The 18,715-nt window shown below is 39.1% G+C and overlaps 1 protein-coding gene and 1 long non-coding RNA gene across 7 annotated transcripts in view, besides 2 other annotated features; one reads left to right on the forward strand and one right to left on the reverse strand.

Moving 5' to 3' along the window:
• Nucleotides 1-18,715, forward strand: part of CSRNP3 (cysteine and serine rich nuclear protein 3) — a 219,710-nt gene that overhangs the window by 154,089 nt on the left and 46,906 nt on the right. The gene's annotated exons all lie outside the window — the stretch shown is intronic.
• LOC124906085 (uncharacterized) lies at nucleotides 294-16,904 on the reverse strand. The gene is made up of 3 exons (XR_007087279.1): nucleotides 16,787-16,904; nucleotides 5,415-5,504; nucleotides 294-344 (listed from the first exon to the last, which is right to left on the reverse strand). It is a non-coding gene; the product is annotated as an uncharacterized LOC124906085 (long non-coding RNA).
• Nucleotides 10,690-11,269: an enhancer, noted in NCBI's record as "NANOG-H3K27ac-H3K4me1 hESC enhancer chr2:166490986-166491565 (GRCh37/hg19 assembly coordinates)". NCBI's record gives its function as "activates a minimal SCP1, AML or CMV promoter by ChIP-STARR-seq in primed H9 embryonic stem cells {active_cell/tissue: H9 hESC(primed)}" and the evidence as "EXISTENCE:reporter gene assay evidence [ECO:0000049][PMID:30033119]".
• Nucleotides 11,270-11,848: an enhancer, noted in NCBI's record as "NANOG-H3K27ac-H3K4me1 hESC enhancer chr2:166491566-166492144 (GRCh37/hg19 assembly coordinates)". NCBI's record gives its function as "activates a minimal SCP1, AML or CMV promoter by ChIP-STARR-seq in primed H9 embryonic stem cells {active_cell/tissue: H9 hESC(primed)}" and the evidence as "EXISTENCE:reporter gene assay evidence [ECO:0000049][PMID:30033119]".

Raw genomic sequence — 18,715 nt, forward strand, 5'->3', positions numbered from 1 at the left:
GAAACTTGGATTCTACTTATAGGTAGCTGTTGTCTAGGCTTTTTGTCTCCTACTGTTACTTTTTCTAACTCTCTTCCTTTCCCTTTTAGAGCAGCTGCAAGGGAGGCAACTGTTGCCTACCTTCTCTCCACAAAAGGGAGTATCTCCTTGTCTGGCTTTTCTTGTCATAGCAGCACATGGAGTCTATTAGCCTCATTTTTCCATTCGTCTTTGAAGTTTTCTCTTATCGCTCCCACTCCTACAACCAACAACAAAAGAGTCCTAGCCACCTTGAACTGTCTCTTGCTTAATTACCTTGTTTCTTCTTTCATCCTCGTCTGTAAAGCAGGTTCAGGGAGAGCATTCTAGAATTTTGAAAGGAAGGAAGGAAAAACAGTTTTTATTTTATATAATTTGGACTTTTTAATAAAATAATGTATTTAATATTTTTATTTATTTTAAGCTTTCTTATGTGCATTCTGAAGCTGAAGGTAAAATAGACTCAGACTTTAGATTCTGAATATATGCACCCCACACTGGTTACATGTGGCCTCCTGAAGGGAATGGATAAAGGCTTCATGCCTGCTCTATAGAATCGCCAAAGAGGGCTTCCGTCAGGCCAGTCCTTTTTTCTTCCTGAAACATTCTCTTAAGTCACTCTTTTTATTTTTCTTTGATTTAAGCTCACAATTTCCTCACTTTCGGGGATTTAAATTACTACAAATATCCTGTGGGTTTATCCATTTTGAGGTACCCTGGTACCTACACAGTCCCTTGCTGGCCAGCTGCTCTCATCCATTGTTATACTGGTGCCTCATAAATTTCCCCTGAGAGGTCCCTCTTCTACACAAAAGCTGCCTGGGTTTTCTTCTCTTAACTAAGAAGCCTTCTTTTCATCCTACAGCCCACGAAGAAAGCAAAGCACACTGAGGTTCTCACCCTTACTTCCCCTGCCTCTCCCTATTTCCTCCTCCTTCCCATCACCTCTTTCCTTTATTTATTCTTTCACTTCAGCAGTCTCAGCTGGCATGCATGAGGAGTCTGTTAGGTGCCACACATTGTATTGTTCATCTCTACAACCGGTGAGATGGGTTTTCTCATTTTACAAAGAGGAAACAGGCAGAGAGAGGGTAAGAAGCCCGCGGAAAGTGGGAAACTAAATAATGGCCTAGCCAGGATTGGAGTCCCAGTCTGACTGTGAAGCCGGCAACTGCATCACACTGCCCCTCAGATATATGTGCCACATTGTGTTTTTAGAGAAGTCATGCAGAACAACTGAAATAATGTGACAGTCCAAGAGATCTCATTTCAAATCGTGACTCCCATCATTTTGGTTGTGTCCTAGGCAGGTTACTAAATGAGCTCATTTCCTCATCTGCAAAATGGGACCAGTGAGCCTTTCTTTCATTCAGTAAGTATTTACTGAGCACTTCCTATGTGCCTGGCATACTTCTAGGTATTGGATATGGCAGGGAGTGAGACAGGCACTACCCGGTTCTCAAAGAACCAACATTTGGGTAAGGAGACAGGTAACAAATATACATAACATGTAGTTGTAAGTGCTCTTTAAAAAAAAAAGTGCCAGGCACGGTGGCTCATGCCTGTAATCCCAGCACTTTGGGAGGCCAAGGTGGGTGGATCATCTGAGGTCAGGAGTTCGAGACCAGCCTGGCAACATGGCAAAACCCTGTCTCTAATAAAAAAAAAAAAAAGGAAAAGTTAGCTGAGCGTGGCGGCAGGTGCTTGTAATCCCAGCTACTTGGGAAGCTGAGACAGGAGAATTGCTTGAACCTGGGAGGCAGAGGTTGCAGTGAGCTGAGATCATGCCACTGCACTCCCACCTCAGCAACAGAGTGAGATTCTGTCAAAAAAAAAGAAAAGAAAAAAGAAACGAAAAATATGAGGCCAGGCATGGTGACTCACACCTGCAATCCTAGCACTTTGGGAGGCTGAGGTCAGGAGTTCGAGACCATCCTGGCCAACATGGTAAAACCCTGTCTCTACTAAAAGTACAAAAATTAGCCTGGTGCAGAGGCGGGCACCTATAATCCCAGCTACTCGGCAGGCTGAGGCAGGAGAATCGCGTGAACTCGGGGCAGAGGTTGCAGTGAGCCGAGATCACACCACTGCACTCCAAAACTCCATCTCAAAAAAAAAAAAAGAAAAGAAAAAAATGACTGGGCACAGTGGCTCACACCTGTAATCCTAGCACTTTGGGAGGCTGAGGTGGGTGGATTGCCTGAGGTCAGGAGTTTGAGACCAGCCTGGCCAACCTGGTGAAACCCTGTCTCTCCTAAAAATACAAAAATTAGCCCAGCATGGTGGTGGGTGCCTATAATCCCAGCTACTTGGGAGGCTGAGGCAGGAGAATCGCTTGAACTCAGGGGGCGGAGGTTGCAGTGAGCCGAGATCATGCCACTTCACTCCAACCTGGGCAAAAGAGTGAAACTCCTTCTCAGAAAAAAAAAAAAGAGAAGAGAGAAGAGATAGTGAAAGAAATGAGGGTAAGAAAAGGCTTTGCCAGTAAGGTGAAACTTAAGCAGAGACTCAAATGAAGTAAGGGAAGGAGTGAGATGGACATCTAAGGTAAGAATATTCCAGGCAAAAGGGCAAATACAAATACAAAGGTCCAAAGGCTGGATTTAATAACTAGCTCAAAAGCTTGTAATAAGTTAATCCTTACCGTGTATATGGATTGGTGTACTGCAGGTACATAAACACCTTATTTCCCCCTTCAAAGTACTGCTAACATTCCGTATTTCCTTGTCCAAAGCATGAGATAAATATTTGAGAGCAGAGCATTTCTAAAAGCTTACTGTTTTGCTTCATTGCTATAACATGCAGTTTCTTTTGCCACTCTCCAAGCAGGTCAGTACAGACTGCCTGTTGCTGCTACCTCGTGTTCTGCCACCTTTCATGGCTGCTGCCCTCTCCTCTTGGTACCCAGTGGCCAAATGACTTCACCCCAGTGTGGACCACCCTTTCTCATAGGTGAAAGCTCTTGACTCTTCCATACTTTTAAATGTAAGGATAAAATTACTTATATTCTTCGCAAACCAAGAAATATCCACATGCCTACCTATGGTTTTCCGTACCCTCAATTACTTCTCATTTTCTCAAGAACACAATGAACAGATCCTTTTTCCTTTCTGTAGTTGAACCTCCTTCACCATCCTGTAGCCTTGTTGCTGGCCTCGTTTCTCATGGGATACACATTGCTTATTCCAGCTTTGTGCTTTTATTTACTTTAGAGAAGGTTAGTTCTTGATGGCTGCCTTTGAACTCCTTCACTCTCCATTTGATTGTTCTCTTTGGTCCCTGCTGGTTATCTTAGATTTTCTATTAATGCATCCCCTTTTCCCACTCAATATTTGACTACTATGGAAACCTTGTGGGGAGCTGCACAACTAAGCTTGTTGTCTCCGCTCAATATTCTTCTCCCTCTGGCCTGAGAATACCTTTACCTCTGAAGCATGCCTACTCATTTCCTCTTTATAGCAGGTACAGTAATTTTCCTGCCATTTTCTTGATTTCTCTATTGTCTCTGCTGGGTAGCTTGTTTTTCTTTGCCTTGTTCTTCTTTCCATTACCTGAAATCCTTTGCTATCTCCCCTGGAAGCTCTTTTGCACTGACTGCTCTTTCTATTATAGCCACAGGCAGCTTTTCTGAGTTCTTTTCTCTTTCGTTCTGGGCCCTTGAAGTAGGCATAGCTTACTTTTACTGGGAAATAATTCATGTCAGTCTGCTAGAGATAGCCTTTTCTGCCTCTTTAAAAGAACGCACTGATACTCTCTCGTCATTGCATCCATTCTTCTCCCCTCACATTGCACTGATTGCATGAGTCATATGCAAACCATGTTTCTGGTGCCCTCCACTACTAGATATAACTCACTTCTACCTAAACAAAACTCTCTGTCCACTGAATCACACTTCTTCCTCTTGTCACATGACCTTACTCTCACAATCGACTCCTCCCACCATTAGTAACTATGGTTGAAAAGATGTCCTTATTTGTTCTTCACCACCCAGAGACATGGTCAGAGCATGCATTTTTCTCATTCATGAATGAGGAACTATGCTCAGAGATGTTACACATGTTCCTCCCACAGTACACAGTCAATAAATGGAGAGCTGCCTCTTGAACCCATTCTTCAGTAGACTCGTTTTCTCTCCAGTGCCCTGCTATATATATCCCAGCAAATTGTACTGGAGCTGTTAATGCTTCGAAATGTTTGCTAAAACAAGCAAAAAATTCCCATGAAGCCATAGTTGAATTCCTGAAGAGAATGGTTAGTTTTTAGCCCCAGCCTGTCCAGCGGAATTGCCACAGAATTATCCTACCAGCCCTACTCTGGCATGATTTTATACCAAATCATATCCAAACCTTATATTTCATTGCTTACTCTTGTTTAGTATGTTCTTATTACAAATGAGCCCTGAGGGATAGGCTCCAGAGATTCCCCAACCCCTACTACAAACATACTCTTCTTTTAGATCTACTCTTTCTTGATACACCATTTTGTGCCTTTTTCCCCCTTTTCTACTTCTTGTGTCTTCTTTTGCAGACCAATGTATCACAGGTTTTCAATTGCTTTCTGTACTTATTATCTGCAACATTTCTCCTCATAGACTAGTGGTTCTCAAAGTATAGACCTGAAATAAAAACATCAGTATTGGCTGGGCACAGTGGTTCACACCTGTAATCCCAGCACTTTGGGAGGCCGAGGGGGGCAGATTACCTGAGGTCAGGAGTTCAAGACCAGCCTGGCCAACGTGGTGAAACCCCGTCTCTACTAAAAATACAAAAATTAGCTGGGCGTGGTGGTGGGCGCCTATAATCCCAGCTACTCCGGAGGCTGAGGCAGGAGAATCGCTTGAACCTGGGAGGCGGAGGTTGCAGTGAGGCGAGATGGCGCCATCACACTCCAGCCTGGACAATGAGAGCAAAACTCTGTCTCCAAAAAAAATAAATCAGTATCCTGTGGGAACCACCAAATCAGAAACACTAGGGATGAGGGGGCCGGGCACAGTGGCTCGTGCCTGTAATCCCAGCTTTTGGGAGGCCAAGGCGGGAGGATTACTTGAGCCCAGGAGTTTCAGACCAGCCTGGGCAACATAGTGAGATCCCATCTCTATTAAATAAAAATTCAAAGAAAGAAAAAGAAACACTAAGGATGGGGCCTAAAAGTCTGTGCTTTTAAACAAGTCTTTCAGGTGGTAGAATTTTGGAACCAGGTAGTACAGGCTCTTTATCTCCTCCCTAAATCTGTGGAAGAAAAATTGGTTACAGTGGGAATATTTACACTATGGAAATTGATAAACACTACAAATCAGGGTAAGAGCCATGTGTTAAACATTTTCCAGCATATGACTGCTGCCGGCAATTCTGATACAAAGTTTGAGAACATTTTCACAGATAATCTCTGAAACTCACCCTGCTCAAGGGAAATAGTCTGTGCTCCACTTCCACAGGCTCCCACCAAGTTGTTCTCCTGACATCACTCCCTCTTTCCTGCTTCAGGTTCTGCGTACAGATAGAGGACAAGAGTACACCCTCACTGTTTGCCTCTTTCTGCCTCATTATATAGTATTCAACAACAGCAGATTCTGCAGCCCTGGAACTCTCCTATAACCATGTCACTCGCAGTAGCTTTGCTTTCTTATGCTCCAGTTTGTGCATCTCATTCACGGAGGTAAAGCTCCCATGGTTTTTCTTCAAAACGCTATGAATCCAGGGGTACAGTTATGATGCCTTTTGTTGTTTTGTTTTGTTTTCTGTGAGGCAGCTGAGGCATCACAGGTATGCGACTTGTCCCAGGTCATTTGGTTACTTGTTGGACCAGAAGAGAGACCTAAATCAGAGGCAGAGTGAAATGTTTTCCCTCTAGGGTCATTCATGAAATATTCTACCAAGTGAGAAATGAAGATATCTCGATATGTTTGATTCAGAAATCAAATTAGTAAATGTTAAACCCCAGAACCATCAGTAAACTGTGAAAATCTGAAATGGTGGCCTAGCATTAATCCTATTTGATCTCCCTGCTTTTTTTCCCCTTTAAAAGTTTTCATCTTTATTTGTCTTCATTTTGCACTCTACCTTTCATTGATTCCCCTTTTATTTCTGGCTGCCCTGCCTGCTGCATTCAGCAAGCCATTCCTTCTCTCAGGTCTAGAGGACCCCAAGCTGATTTCCTGTGGTTCACTTCTAACCACTTAAAAGAAAGGTTGCAGCATTTTCTTTTGTACTCAGGTGAATTTGATTGTTTAAAACAAGCTTTCTTTCAAAGACTCTCAACAGACTGTACAAAAGCTTAATCATCCTATCTGTACGTAGACTAAAATAAAACCTAGGGTGCATCATCCAAGGCTGTCTATTCTTTGATTTTTGAAGACGTAAAAAAGCTCCTTTTTTGTCTCCTTTTCTGCCTGAAAAAATAAATTCTGGCGTTCTTAGGAAACAATGCATTAATCCTAAAAGTGTGTATGTGTATTTTGAATTAGTCTTTTCGTTTTCTACTAAGACAGCATTTAGAATAGCCATTTTTATTTCTTGTATACCTAAGACTGACTCCTCCTTTTCCTTCAAGATTTTATTTAGTCCCTCTGATTTATTGCCTTTCCCTCTTTTCCTGTGGTGTTACCCATTTATAATGCCTTCTCTTTGATCACTTTGAAATCCACCATATGTTTTCCTGTTTGCCATCTCCCGACTTCCCCATGGCATTAACTGCAGTGAGTGGTGGACTCCTTGTCGGGACCCATGAAGGATCTTTGTTTCTTCAGCTGGACAGCAACAACTCCTCCAGCCTGGGTCTCCAGGATCCTCTCCAGAACTGCTTTCAGTATCTCTTTCTCTCCCAGTTATCAAATGACAGACAAAGTAATCATTTTACATTTACTCCATACATGGATATATCTCTTACAGTGAATTTCAGCACCATTTTAGGAAACACTGTCCTTGTACAGCCACCCTGTAGTGGGAATTTTATCAGAAATTATTGTATTTCTCATGTAATAAAATTGATGATATTTGACGTGTTCAAAGTTAGTTCTTTGATTATTCAGAGTTAGTGGAGCAAAAGTCTATTGCCTTCATTTATTTAACAAACATTTATCAAAAGCCTACTAAGAGACATACAGAGATTTGTGAATGAATACCCCAGGGAGGCTAATTATTTGTTAACGTTTCTTATTAGGGCCAAGGTTTCTAATTATTTGTATAGCTTTTTCATTATGTTCAAAAATAAGAGATTTATTACCCACACTAAACATTATATAACATTATAACTTAATCATAATTGCCTTATTATTGCAATATTCTGAGCCAGATAACTTCCGAGGAGGTATATTAGAGGGTTTTAAATTTCAATGTTAACATAAATCACTGGTTCTTGGTAAACAGCAGTTATGCCATGCATTATACACATTCAGAATTTCGGCTCCCTGTGACTTATGACTTCAGGCAATTGACTAGGGGCTAGAGACAATGTGTGTGTGTATGTGTGGGTGCAGGAATTGGCTCTGCCTGTAAATTACAAGGGGCAGCTTGATGTGCAGGCCATGAGTGTCCTCAACAGAGATGAGTGGTGCCAATGAAGGCGTTTTTATATTCTCACTCTAGGGAGCTGTTTACTTTGGTGGGAACAAGACCGATATACAAGTTGCCTGTCTTCTGTGGAAATCTAATTTTACTGACACATATATTTTATTTATTCCATTGATATTCTGTAAGCTCTTATGGATGCCTTTATAGCAGCCAATGGCCAGCTCTCCTGCCTTTAATGTACTGTGGATATTAAGAAAAAGCATGATTTTCTCCATGCCTTAAAAGACCTCAGTCTATTAGAAGAGGCAGAAGTGGAAACAGATAAGTTACACAGATCAGTAAGTAAACAATCAGAACATGTCACTATGCTTAAATTATATTTTTATAGCCATACCTGTTCTATAAATCAGAAGTTAGCAAACTACAGCCTTGCAGGCCAAACCCACTCTTTCACCAGTTGTTATAAATAAAGTTTTATTGGAAAACAACTACTCTCACTCATCTACCTATTGTCTGTGGCTGCTTTTGCACTATAATGGCAGAGTCAACTAGTTTCAAGAGACTGAATGGCTCACAAAGCCAAATGGTTAATATCTGGCCCTTTAAAGAAAAGATTAATATCTGGCAATCAAATATGTGTGAACGTGTTTCAAAGGGATGGGTTTAAATACTATTAATATTTAGAGCATCAACCTAACTCAAGACTTGTTTGCAGAATTTTTACAGTTTCTGTGCTGCATGGCCAGGCCTAGAAATGATAACAAAATATGACTATCATCACACTAAAGTTAATAGAAAATTATTAAACATTTTATGAGTGCTTAGAATATAGCATAGGTATTAATTCTGAATTTAGTGTGAACATGTTCTTTTTATTCTTTTATCAATGTCACAGGGCTGTCATTGTATTAGGAAAATAAAGTGAAGTGCCAGGCATGGTAGTTCACACCTGTAATCCTACTACTTTGGGAGGCTGAGGCAGGAGGATTGCTTGAGGCCAGGAGTTCAAGACCAGCCTGGGCAACAGAGCAAGACACTGTCTTTACAGAAAATTTAAAAATTAGCATGTGTCTGTGGTCCCATCTACTTGAGAGGCTGAGATGGGAGAATTGCTTGAGCCCAGGAGTTTGAAGTTGTAGTGAGCTATAATCACAGCATTGCACTCCAGTCAGAGTGACAGAGCAAGACCCTGTCTCTTTAAAAAAAATAACAAAAATAAGGAAACCAAATGTTATTCTCTCTCCCCATGAATGTTCTATCCCTGCAATGGGACTTTACAGCTTTACAGTTACATTTTTAAAAGCTAAACCTAGAAATCAACAAATCTAACCATTTTATGTTTAAATAGAGTCTCCATGAGAATATTTTGATTCATAAAAAGGAACTTAAATGAGTATTTCTTTATGAGACATTTAAATAATTATGGCATGCCCCATGATTCACCCCATCTTTATTTCATTACTGTTTTATCAGAGCTTTGCATTATCAAGTTGAGTTGAAACAACATGGGCTACATGACTTACCAGCTATCAATTTTCGTTTCCTATCTGCAAAGTAGAAATCCGTTATATCATTTCTAAGGCTATTCCAGAAGGGAATAAAGCCTGAAAAACACTTAGCACTGTGGTAGACATGTGAAAAATATTATCTTCCTTACCTTCTTTTTGATATAATCTGTAATATTTGAACATTTTCTTATGTCATACTTTATGCAAATACAGTATTTCTGTCACGTTAAACTTAGCAAAAAACCACCTAAGTGAACTATACACTGATTGTGTAGTTAAGCTTGTTTAATATCTCTTAAAACATTCATCTCAGTTGTTACCTGAAAATACCGATTTAAGAGACTTAAGTCTAGTGATGCCCTATTCCAAAGGACTTAATAATGTAATGTTATTGCTAAAAGGAAGGCAGCCAAGATTGTCTTTTATTGTTTATTTCTATCACTTAAATCACCTACAACTATGTTGGCATAAGGATCACTAAAGTCCTAGAGTAAGCGGATTTATAGTCTCTGTCTTTAAGAAAGAAAGTAATGGCCTATTGTGAAGCCTCGAATTCTGGCATCGATAATATTTTGATTTTGTTATTTTTCTAGGATTTCTTATGAACCTGTGTGGAAAATATTTAGGTATGTTTTCATTACAAAACGAAAGCAATTTCTTCTGAAAATCGCAGCTTCTTTCGTCTTGCTTTGTTCAGCATTCTAATGCCTTTCTTTGTTTTCCACATAAGAACTTCAATCTCCCAGCTCACAAGCTTTCCAAGACTCCCCACTGAGCACAGAACAAAATCCAGTCCCCTGATCCTAAGATTTAAGCTTGAAACCATGCTAGCCTATTCAGCTATTACATGTTGAATACTAGGGCTGCATCTTACTGCTTTGCTCATTTCCTCCTTGCTGAGGACAATGCCTGGCACATAGTAGTTGCTCCATAAATTTCTGTTAAATATAACTAGTTACTAAAATATAGACAGAAGCTCCTCTGCAATCATTCACTATTTGTGGCTCCCTGAATGTGTTCTTCCCCTTACAACCTCTGGGTACTTTCCTGAACTGTTGAAATCCTGCCCACACTTCCAAGACCCTGCTGCACAAAGCCTCTCATGATCTTTCAGTAGTCAAAATTAATTTCTTCATTGGGTTTTCATAACACTCCTTATGTCTGTTACGCTATTAAACCAATTCATTTATTCTACAAATATTTATTCATAGACTATCTTTGTAAAACATTATTTGAGGTCCAGCCCCGTGGCTCACACCTGTAATCCCAACACTTTGGGAGGCCAAGGCAGGCGGATCTCTTGAGCCCAGGAGTTCGAGACCAGCCTGAGTCACATGGCAAAACCCCGTCTCTACTAAAAATACAAAAAATTAGCCAGGCATGATGGTGTGTGCCTGTAATCCCAGGTACTCAGGAGGCTGAGATGGAAGAATCATCTGAACCTGGGAAGTCAAGGCTGCAGTGAGCTGAGATCGCACCACTGCACTCCACCCTGGGCAATGGGAATGAGATCCTGTCCAAAAAAAGAAAAAAAACACACACAGAAAAACATTATTTGAAAAACATACAAAAAACACATATTGAGCACCTGTTCTGTCTGCCAGGAAATATTCTAGGAATGCAGCATACAGTTGTAAATAAGACCGGCGAAGGGCCCTGTTCTTACAAAGGTTACATTCTGGTGGTCAAGATGGATAAGAAACAGACATATGCATAACATCAAGTAGTGATACAGACTCCAGAAAAAATAAAACAGAGAAAGGAAATAAAGAAGATGGATGAGTAAATAGCTTACGGAAGTTAAGGAAAGGATCTCAGAGAAAGGGATATGAATAGCAACCTAGATTACATTAGGAAGTACCCAGGCCCTGTGCTAGGTGCTAATAATTTAAAGATCAGTGAAGCATGTTCTTTGCTTACAACCTGGTGAAGAAACCTACCTGGAGGTGACAACAATTACACTCTAGTGTCTAGAAAGTACTCCAGTACATCCTGCAGAGGAAAGTCATTCTCACACTGGTATGGTTGCCTTGCTATTTGATGTGCATCTGTGTGCCTTACTTTATTGTTATCTCGTCCAGGAAGGAGCCTGTGTTGTTCACTTTGGTATTTCCCCAGAGTGCTAACAGTCCCTGATGCATTCTAGGCCCAGCAGGCTATTGAATCCAGCCAGTGCAGTCCTGAGGGGAGTGTTCCCAGACTTACACTGCAGCTGGGGAGGAGCCAGCCTGGAGCTCCGGGCTTGGTGTTCTCAGCTGAGGGAGCTGATTGCTCTCCCTCTGTGAATTGCTGTACACACTGAGAAGCCCTGCAGCAGCAGATCTGATGAGTGGGAGAGCTGCCAAAGTGCGCAGCCAGGCTGGGCCCCTGGGGTGCCCGTGAGGGCATCCTCTTATTTTCTGTTTGAAAAGCTGACTGAGATCATAGTGGAGACAAGTGGGCAGAACCTAGACAAAACTCATTCTTTTCTCTGTATATTTATAAAAAATGTACCTCAACACCACATAGGACAATCTGATTCCTTTTGATGACAAGAGCCTGCCTCCATTTTACTCCTGGGAAAAGAAGGAGCTTTAAAGGAAAACTTTAAATTCAAAGTCATTGGAAACCCTTACCCTCCTTCCCAGAGGTACATTTGAGACTACAGTCTCTGGGCTAATCAGGTGCTTTAATAGAGGTTAGCGTTTGGAGAGGGCAAGTGAGACAGAAACAGGATTATTTGTGTTCAGGTAAGAACATGTTATCATAGGATGTTCATGCACACAGGACAAATAGAAATGTCGATACCCTATTTTATTTATTATATTGTTTTCATATGATATAATATTGCCTTGTCTAAAGGCAGTATCTTACCTGATGGTAAAACCAGTCTAGACTTGTTTAGTCTTTGTGTTAAAGGGACAGTAAGCTTACAGATGCTTTAGTCATAGGCCAGTACAGCTCACCAGGGTTGTAGGCCAGAACTACACAATTCTATAGGATTAAACATCTATTTGAGAGTTGCAGGTAGTCAGTGCATGACAAACATGCAACTTTCCCTCCATCTCTTTGGTGCTACCCTTCCTTGCTCCATACCCATTTTTTCTTTCCCTCCTCAATTGTTCCTCTGGAGAATTGTAGAGTCAACTCCCACCATGATGCAGAGCCCTTCACCTCCCCACCAGCTTCTGCTTCAAAGCTCACATATCCAAACACACCATGGGGAGTAAGAAATACACCCAAGGGTAAAGAAACTTGTTTATTGCTATAACCCAGTTTCTTAAACTTACGTAAATGAATGCTACTGTTTTAATAGTATTCCTATTAGTGTTAAGAGAAACAATCTCTTCCATTGGCTCAAATGACCTTTCTTGCTCTTATTAGCTATGGCAAGTGACACATTCATATGTAAGCAGATTGGTAACTTACACAGAAGCTACTTAGAAATTGCCTGGATTCTAGGTGCTTAATATATATTTATTCAGTGAATAAATAAATATGAATGCATGTGTGCATAATTGGATGAATGAATGGATAATTTAGGAGTTTATAGATAAGATTCTCTTTGAGTGAATAACATAGGAAGATGATCTGTATGTTTTCAGAGGCCTGTATATGAGGATAACTGTACTAACTCCATCAATAAGACACGTGTCTTGAGATATTTTCCCAGTAATATTGATATATTTGTGTTTTTCTGATCCATCTCCTCCCATTAAGTTCTCATAACCCATAGCATCAACATTCAAGATGGAACAAGTAATCATTATTGCCATGTCTAACTTTGGCTTCACTAGAACTAAATGAACAAATTAATCACATATACTTAACATAAGTAGGTGTGTAACTATAAAAACATACATATGTAATATTTGTATATGTAAGTCATATGCATATTTTAATTCTAGCAAAACTTAATTCTAACAAAAATATGGTTATTGTTTCCATCCATTCTAAAATTTCATCATGCTAATGCTACTACAATTTTATTATTTTTTAAATAATTAGAGTATTAAGCATTAATTAGTTCATTTACTAATTTTTTTTAATAATGCTAGAGCAAAACACATAGATTTGGTTCATGACTGGTGGCTAGGCAATGAGGGCAGTCACTAGGCAGTAGGGTTGACCTCTATGGAAGACAACCAGCATTCCTATTCACAATGTCCCAGGTGTCATGGCATACTCAGTTCTGATCCAGATAGGTTTGGTTGGCTTGTTTTGTTGTTTTGTTTTTGTTTTTAGCTAAAATTTCTGATAGAATAGCACAAAGTATGGCAGAAGGTATTGCTAGATCAAGGCAACAGGTGAGTCACAGAAATATGATTCTAGGTTGATTCAACAAGGCTATAGCCAGAACTCATAAAATAGCTTGAAATTAAAGGAACAAGTCAATGTCCTGAACAGAAGGAAAGACCTTAACATGACTAGGCCTGTCACTAGGAAAGCTTGAGTTCTAACAAGGAAATGGAACGTGAATCCAAAAGCAAGAATGAGGCTACAACTTAATTTGTCTGGGTCTTTATATAGAGATTTGGTGGAAACACTACTACCCAGTGGGTGTGAGTATGCCCTGTGATGCAGAAACAGATTAATTGTATACCTGGCATCACTAATGGAGATGGAGCTATTAGTGTATTTTCAGGCTCACTATCATTGGCTCAGAATTAGGTGGTATTAGTACTCATAGCTGGTCATGATTGGGATCGGAAAGGAGCGCCACATTCATGACCATTACTGAGTGGTTTCTGCTCTGCAACATACTTTATGGATCTCTATGAATAAGTATGAATAAGTACCAGTGCTTATGCTTAATGGAGTTTTGAAAATGTAAAACATATGATCATAAGTGCCAGAGTATAAGATGACTCATTTATAGCAATGCCATTTCATGAATGCATTAAACAATTTCATTGTCTTCAATTCAGAAAACTATAGTGGAAGTGTTTCTTAATGTACAAAATGGAGAATTTACAGTCTTTGTAAATCTACTTTTTGTGAATGTTCATTGTGTAAAAGTTGGAAAGTTCAAAACAGTGTACAGATACAGATTCATTACCCTAATACAACCAGTATTCGCATTGTATTAACCCAGTATTTTTTAAAATGTACTATTATATAGTTGCTACAAATTATTGTTAAACCTTTTTTAATGCCCCTTTTTCACTGAATACTATATCAGACATTTTCTAATATTATTGAAATATCTATAAAATCTTATTAATTTTATTGGCTACAAAAATATCCCAATATATATAGTACAAAAGACAGTCATTTTACTCAACCATTTCTATGAAGTCAGGCATTTAGGTGTTTTGTCAATATTTCATTATTATATTTAACTTAGTGATGAACACATTTTGACATAAATCATTTTCTAGGCTGGGAGTGGTGGCTCACGCCTATAATCCCAGCACTTTGGGAGGCCAAGGCAGGTGGATCGCTGGAGATCAGGATTTCAAGACCAGCCTGACCAACATGGTGAAACCCCGTCCCTACTAAAAATACAAAATAAACTGGGTATGGTGGCACATGCCTGTAGTCCCAGCTACTCAGGAGGCTGAGGCAGGAGAATTGCTTGAACCCAGGTGGCGGATATTGCAGTGAGCTGAGATCGTGCCATTGCACTCCAGCCTGGGCAACAAAAGTGAAACTCCATCTCAAAAAAAAAAAAATCATTTTCTAAATTTCTGATTATATCCTTACTACTGATTCCTATATTTAGAACTATTTATTTTATATTTTTTAAAAGATGAAGATGCTTTCTGAAAATGTTGTAAATCTTTAATATGCCAACAAGTAGTATAGAAAAGTACCTATCTCTTTGTACTCTTGCCACAACTGAAAATTTTTATAATTTTGCATTATTTGCTAGACAGCAAAAATATATTTTGTTATTTTGATTTTTATTTCTTTGTGACCACTGAAGTTGAACACTTTCTTAAATATATTTTTAATATTTGAATGTTATTTTTTGTCAGCTTTGTATTCTTAAATTTTGCTCATCAATTGTTGGGAAATGTCCTCTGACAGAGAAAAAGTACAGTTGATTCTCAATATTCATGATAGTTATGTTCTATAAGGTTTCAGGGAAGACTGACTTAGTAAATACAGAGCCGTTGCTCCTGGGGGAAATACAGGGTTAGGTACCTGTTGAGCCTCTGGTCATAACATTTTCATCCACCAATCAATACATAATCTTGTTTTGTTTGTTTCCGTTTAAAGACACCTTATTAAATATATGTTGTTGATTGATTAACATTAAACTTATGACCAACAACACCATAACTTATGCCTGAAAAAAACATGTCTTGTCACGTATTTTCTCTATATGACACATCGCTGCTTTCTTGCATTTAGGAATAGTAGACAGCACTGGTACTTGGGGGCCTTTTCAAACAGGAAAATTACCTACAAAAAGCACAAAACGTGCAAATAATGTGGCACTAAGCACCATATGAAGGACATTTGTTTACAGTAGGAGAGCTGAAATAGGAAGGCAAAAGTCACCTTGTTCAGCCTCAACTGGGAACATACACATGGGACAACTCAATTTTTCACTGTTCTGCGAGGTCTGTGAATGTGTATTGATTTGGAGTTACAAATAAATTCGGAATCTATAAATAATGAGAATCAACTGTTTATATCTTAGTGATCTGGCCACAAAGTGCATGGTTATATACACGGCTGAGTAAAGAAGTTAATGAGTGGATGGATAAATATAAATCTGTTCATTTTAAAGGGAACAAGTCAAAAGGTGTCCTTTAAATCCCGTGATTTTGAAATATACACAGGAGTTGCCATACCCAACAGCAAAGAAAGGACAAATCTGAGAATGACAAAGTCAGTGTTTTGACACCTGAGGAGATACAGCAGACAGGGAAATGGAAAGGGCATTGCTGTGAAGCCAGGCAGAGTTGGATGTGAGACTCATTTTCCAGGCTTATGACCTTGGAGGAGAGCCACTTGGAGCCTCTAATTCCTCCTTCAGAAAATCAAGATTAAAATATCCATCTTAGACTGTCTCTTACAGATACCTTTTGTCTCTCATTCATAATTATGACCCTAGGACTTAGCATTATTCCTGATATATTTGTCAATTATCTGTCAGAAATATATCAGTTATTCAGTGTCCATTACCTTTATGTGCCAAAACAAATATCAGACCCCAAAAAAGTATTTAAATTCCAGAATGCTATACATTTAAAGTACAGAACAGAGCATTTTAATTGTAAAACTCTTATCATGTGGGGCTGGTTGCCTCCAATGAATAGTTCATACATATTGATTCTCTGTGTCAGGCACTCTACTGCTTCATATAAATGATTTATGTGAATTCAAATTATATAAATGATTTTTGATTTCTTTACTTTTAACAAACACTTATACAGTACTTACTACGTGCCAAACTTTGTTTAATGTGTTACAAATATTTATTTAATCCTCATAACAGCACTATGTGATGAGTATTATTATTAAAACTATTTATACATGAGGTGAGCGAGACAGAAAGATTAATTTGTCCTAGCTCACCCAGCAAGTAAATGACAGAGCAGGATATGAACTAAGTGCTTTTTGTCCACTATTCATGTTTATACCATTACTTCACCACTGCCCTAGGAGATTCCAGATAAGGAATGGGTGCCATAGCTGACCTAAGGTGGCAATGAATCTACTGGTATGTTTCACTCCAAAGCCTGCATCATTAGGATTGATAGCTTCAGGCCACTAGCAGTCTGGTACTGCAGAGGCTTACAGGGGCTTACTACTTACGTTGCTTCTAGCTGCTTCTAACATGCAGGTAGCTTCCTCTCCCCATTTTCTGAATAATGTAGCTAGATTATTATTGCTTAATTCTAGAGTTTGGATCCTGGGAGCAGCTGTTCACAGGCTATAATAAGGAAGAAGAAAGAGTATGAGAGCATTCCAGAACTAATAAAGGAAGGCAATATAGTGTCAAGATTAACAGCTTGAGCTTGAGCTTGACACTGTCTGCATTCAAATCAGGCTTCTGTGTTACCAGCTGTAAGGTTTTGGTAAATTACTTCACCTCTGTGGACCTCAGTTTCATTTACAAAATTGGTATAGTTTTACCTATTTAAACTATGATCGTGCTGCTGAGGATTCAATGAATTCATACCTATAAAGCAATAAGAAAGGTCCTTGACACATGGTAAGCATACAAATAAAACATCACTAATAGAAGCAACACTTGAAAACAATCCATTTATCTTTTACATAGTTCCATCTCTTGTGTCCTAGTAGGTTTCCAAACTTGTGGTCACACACCACTATTATTAAAATGTTTAAACATGCATATCAATATCTTTATTTTATGTATAAATAATGGAAACCTATTGCTGTAGTAATCGATTGTGTGCAATTTTAAACCAGACCACAACAATGGTTCACCAGTTCTAGTTTATCTTTCTCTAATACCCTTGAGCTGCCCTAGGGCACCCCTGCATTGTCAGTGCTTAGACCTCCCATCCCTGAAGAGTTCTTTACTGAAAGCTATCTGTCACCTCCTCAAGTCTTTCTCAATTCCTAAGATTTACTAAAGACAAAAGGGTAACTTCTTCTGTTGAAGGAAAGTAATTAAATTCATTATCATCTGGGAACAGTAATAGTCCTTTAACTCTCCCAGGATTATTCACATACTCAAAAAATGTCCTGTGTTATCCTTACTGAATCGTTAATCAAAGGTCAGGAGTCTGGGAACCACAGCAGGCAAGTCTACCTTAAAAGAATTCTTCTTCTCACTTTTTCCTTTTTTCCAACTCTAAAGACCAAGAGACCCTTTGGGGAGTGAATTGGTCTCTGGTAGGGATCAGAGATGAAAATTTTGCTCATATAAATCACTTAAAAATTAAATTTAGAGTTATTGAAGCCTGTGTACCTGAGACAGAGGCCAGAGGAACTGGTTAGTAGATAATACTGAGAACCAAGGTTTGGAATTTTAGTTTGCTCCAAATGATAAAGGAAACATGGAAATTTTTTGAGAAGTGCTCTTTAAAGGTAAAAGAAGTTGGATCCTGCTTTTATAAAATGCAGTATAAGCATTCTTCTGCTCTTTTGTTTCTCTTCTATCCAAGGAAATATAAACTCTTAAAATGTAGAGGGGAAACAAACCTCTTTATACCTTCCTTTTTACAGTCCAAGTCTGAGGTTACGTTTGGCTTTGGAAAGAATATTTCTTGTAACAAATAGCCCATGTCATGAGAGTAGCACAGATAAAAGACAAACATAGACTCTTTGGGATGTTTCTATGCATCCAGTAGTACCTGAGAATACACACACACAAACACACACACACACACACACACACACACACACACACACACACACGGTATAATGTATGTATTGCCCTATGCACCCTGTAGATGTGAAAGCAGAGCTGTAGCTAATACCACTCTTTGGGGCTGCCAAAATGATTCCAAAGAGCTTTATACTGATTCTCTCCTCTGGCAAGATGCTTGCAAAGGGAAATATCTGTGAGTTCTGAGGAGACCTAGGGGAAAAATGTATTTCACAGGAATAAAAACACTTCATTAAGCATTCCTTAGGAAACCTTTCAGTTTTAGACTCTTCACAGGGAAAGATTGTTTCTTCAGGTGATTTGAATTTTGCTTTCACATACTATATGATAGCTATGATATATTTACTTGTGAGATTATTTTTTTGCAAGAATTGCAATGTCTA

This window comes from Homo sapiens, chromosome 2, assembly GCF_000001405.40.
Source record: "Homo sapiens chromosome 2, GRCh38.p14 Primary Assembly".
NCBI lineage: Eukaryota > Metazoa > Chordata > Mammalia > Primates > Hominidae > Homo > Homo sapiens.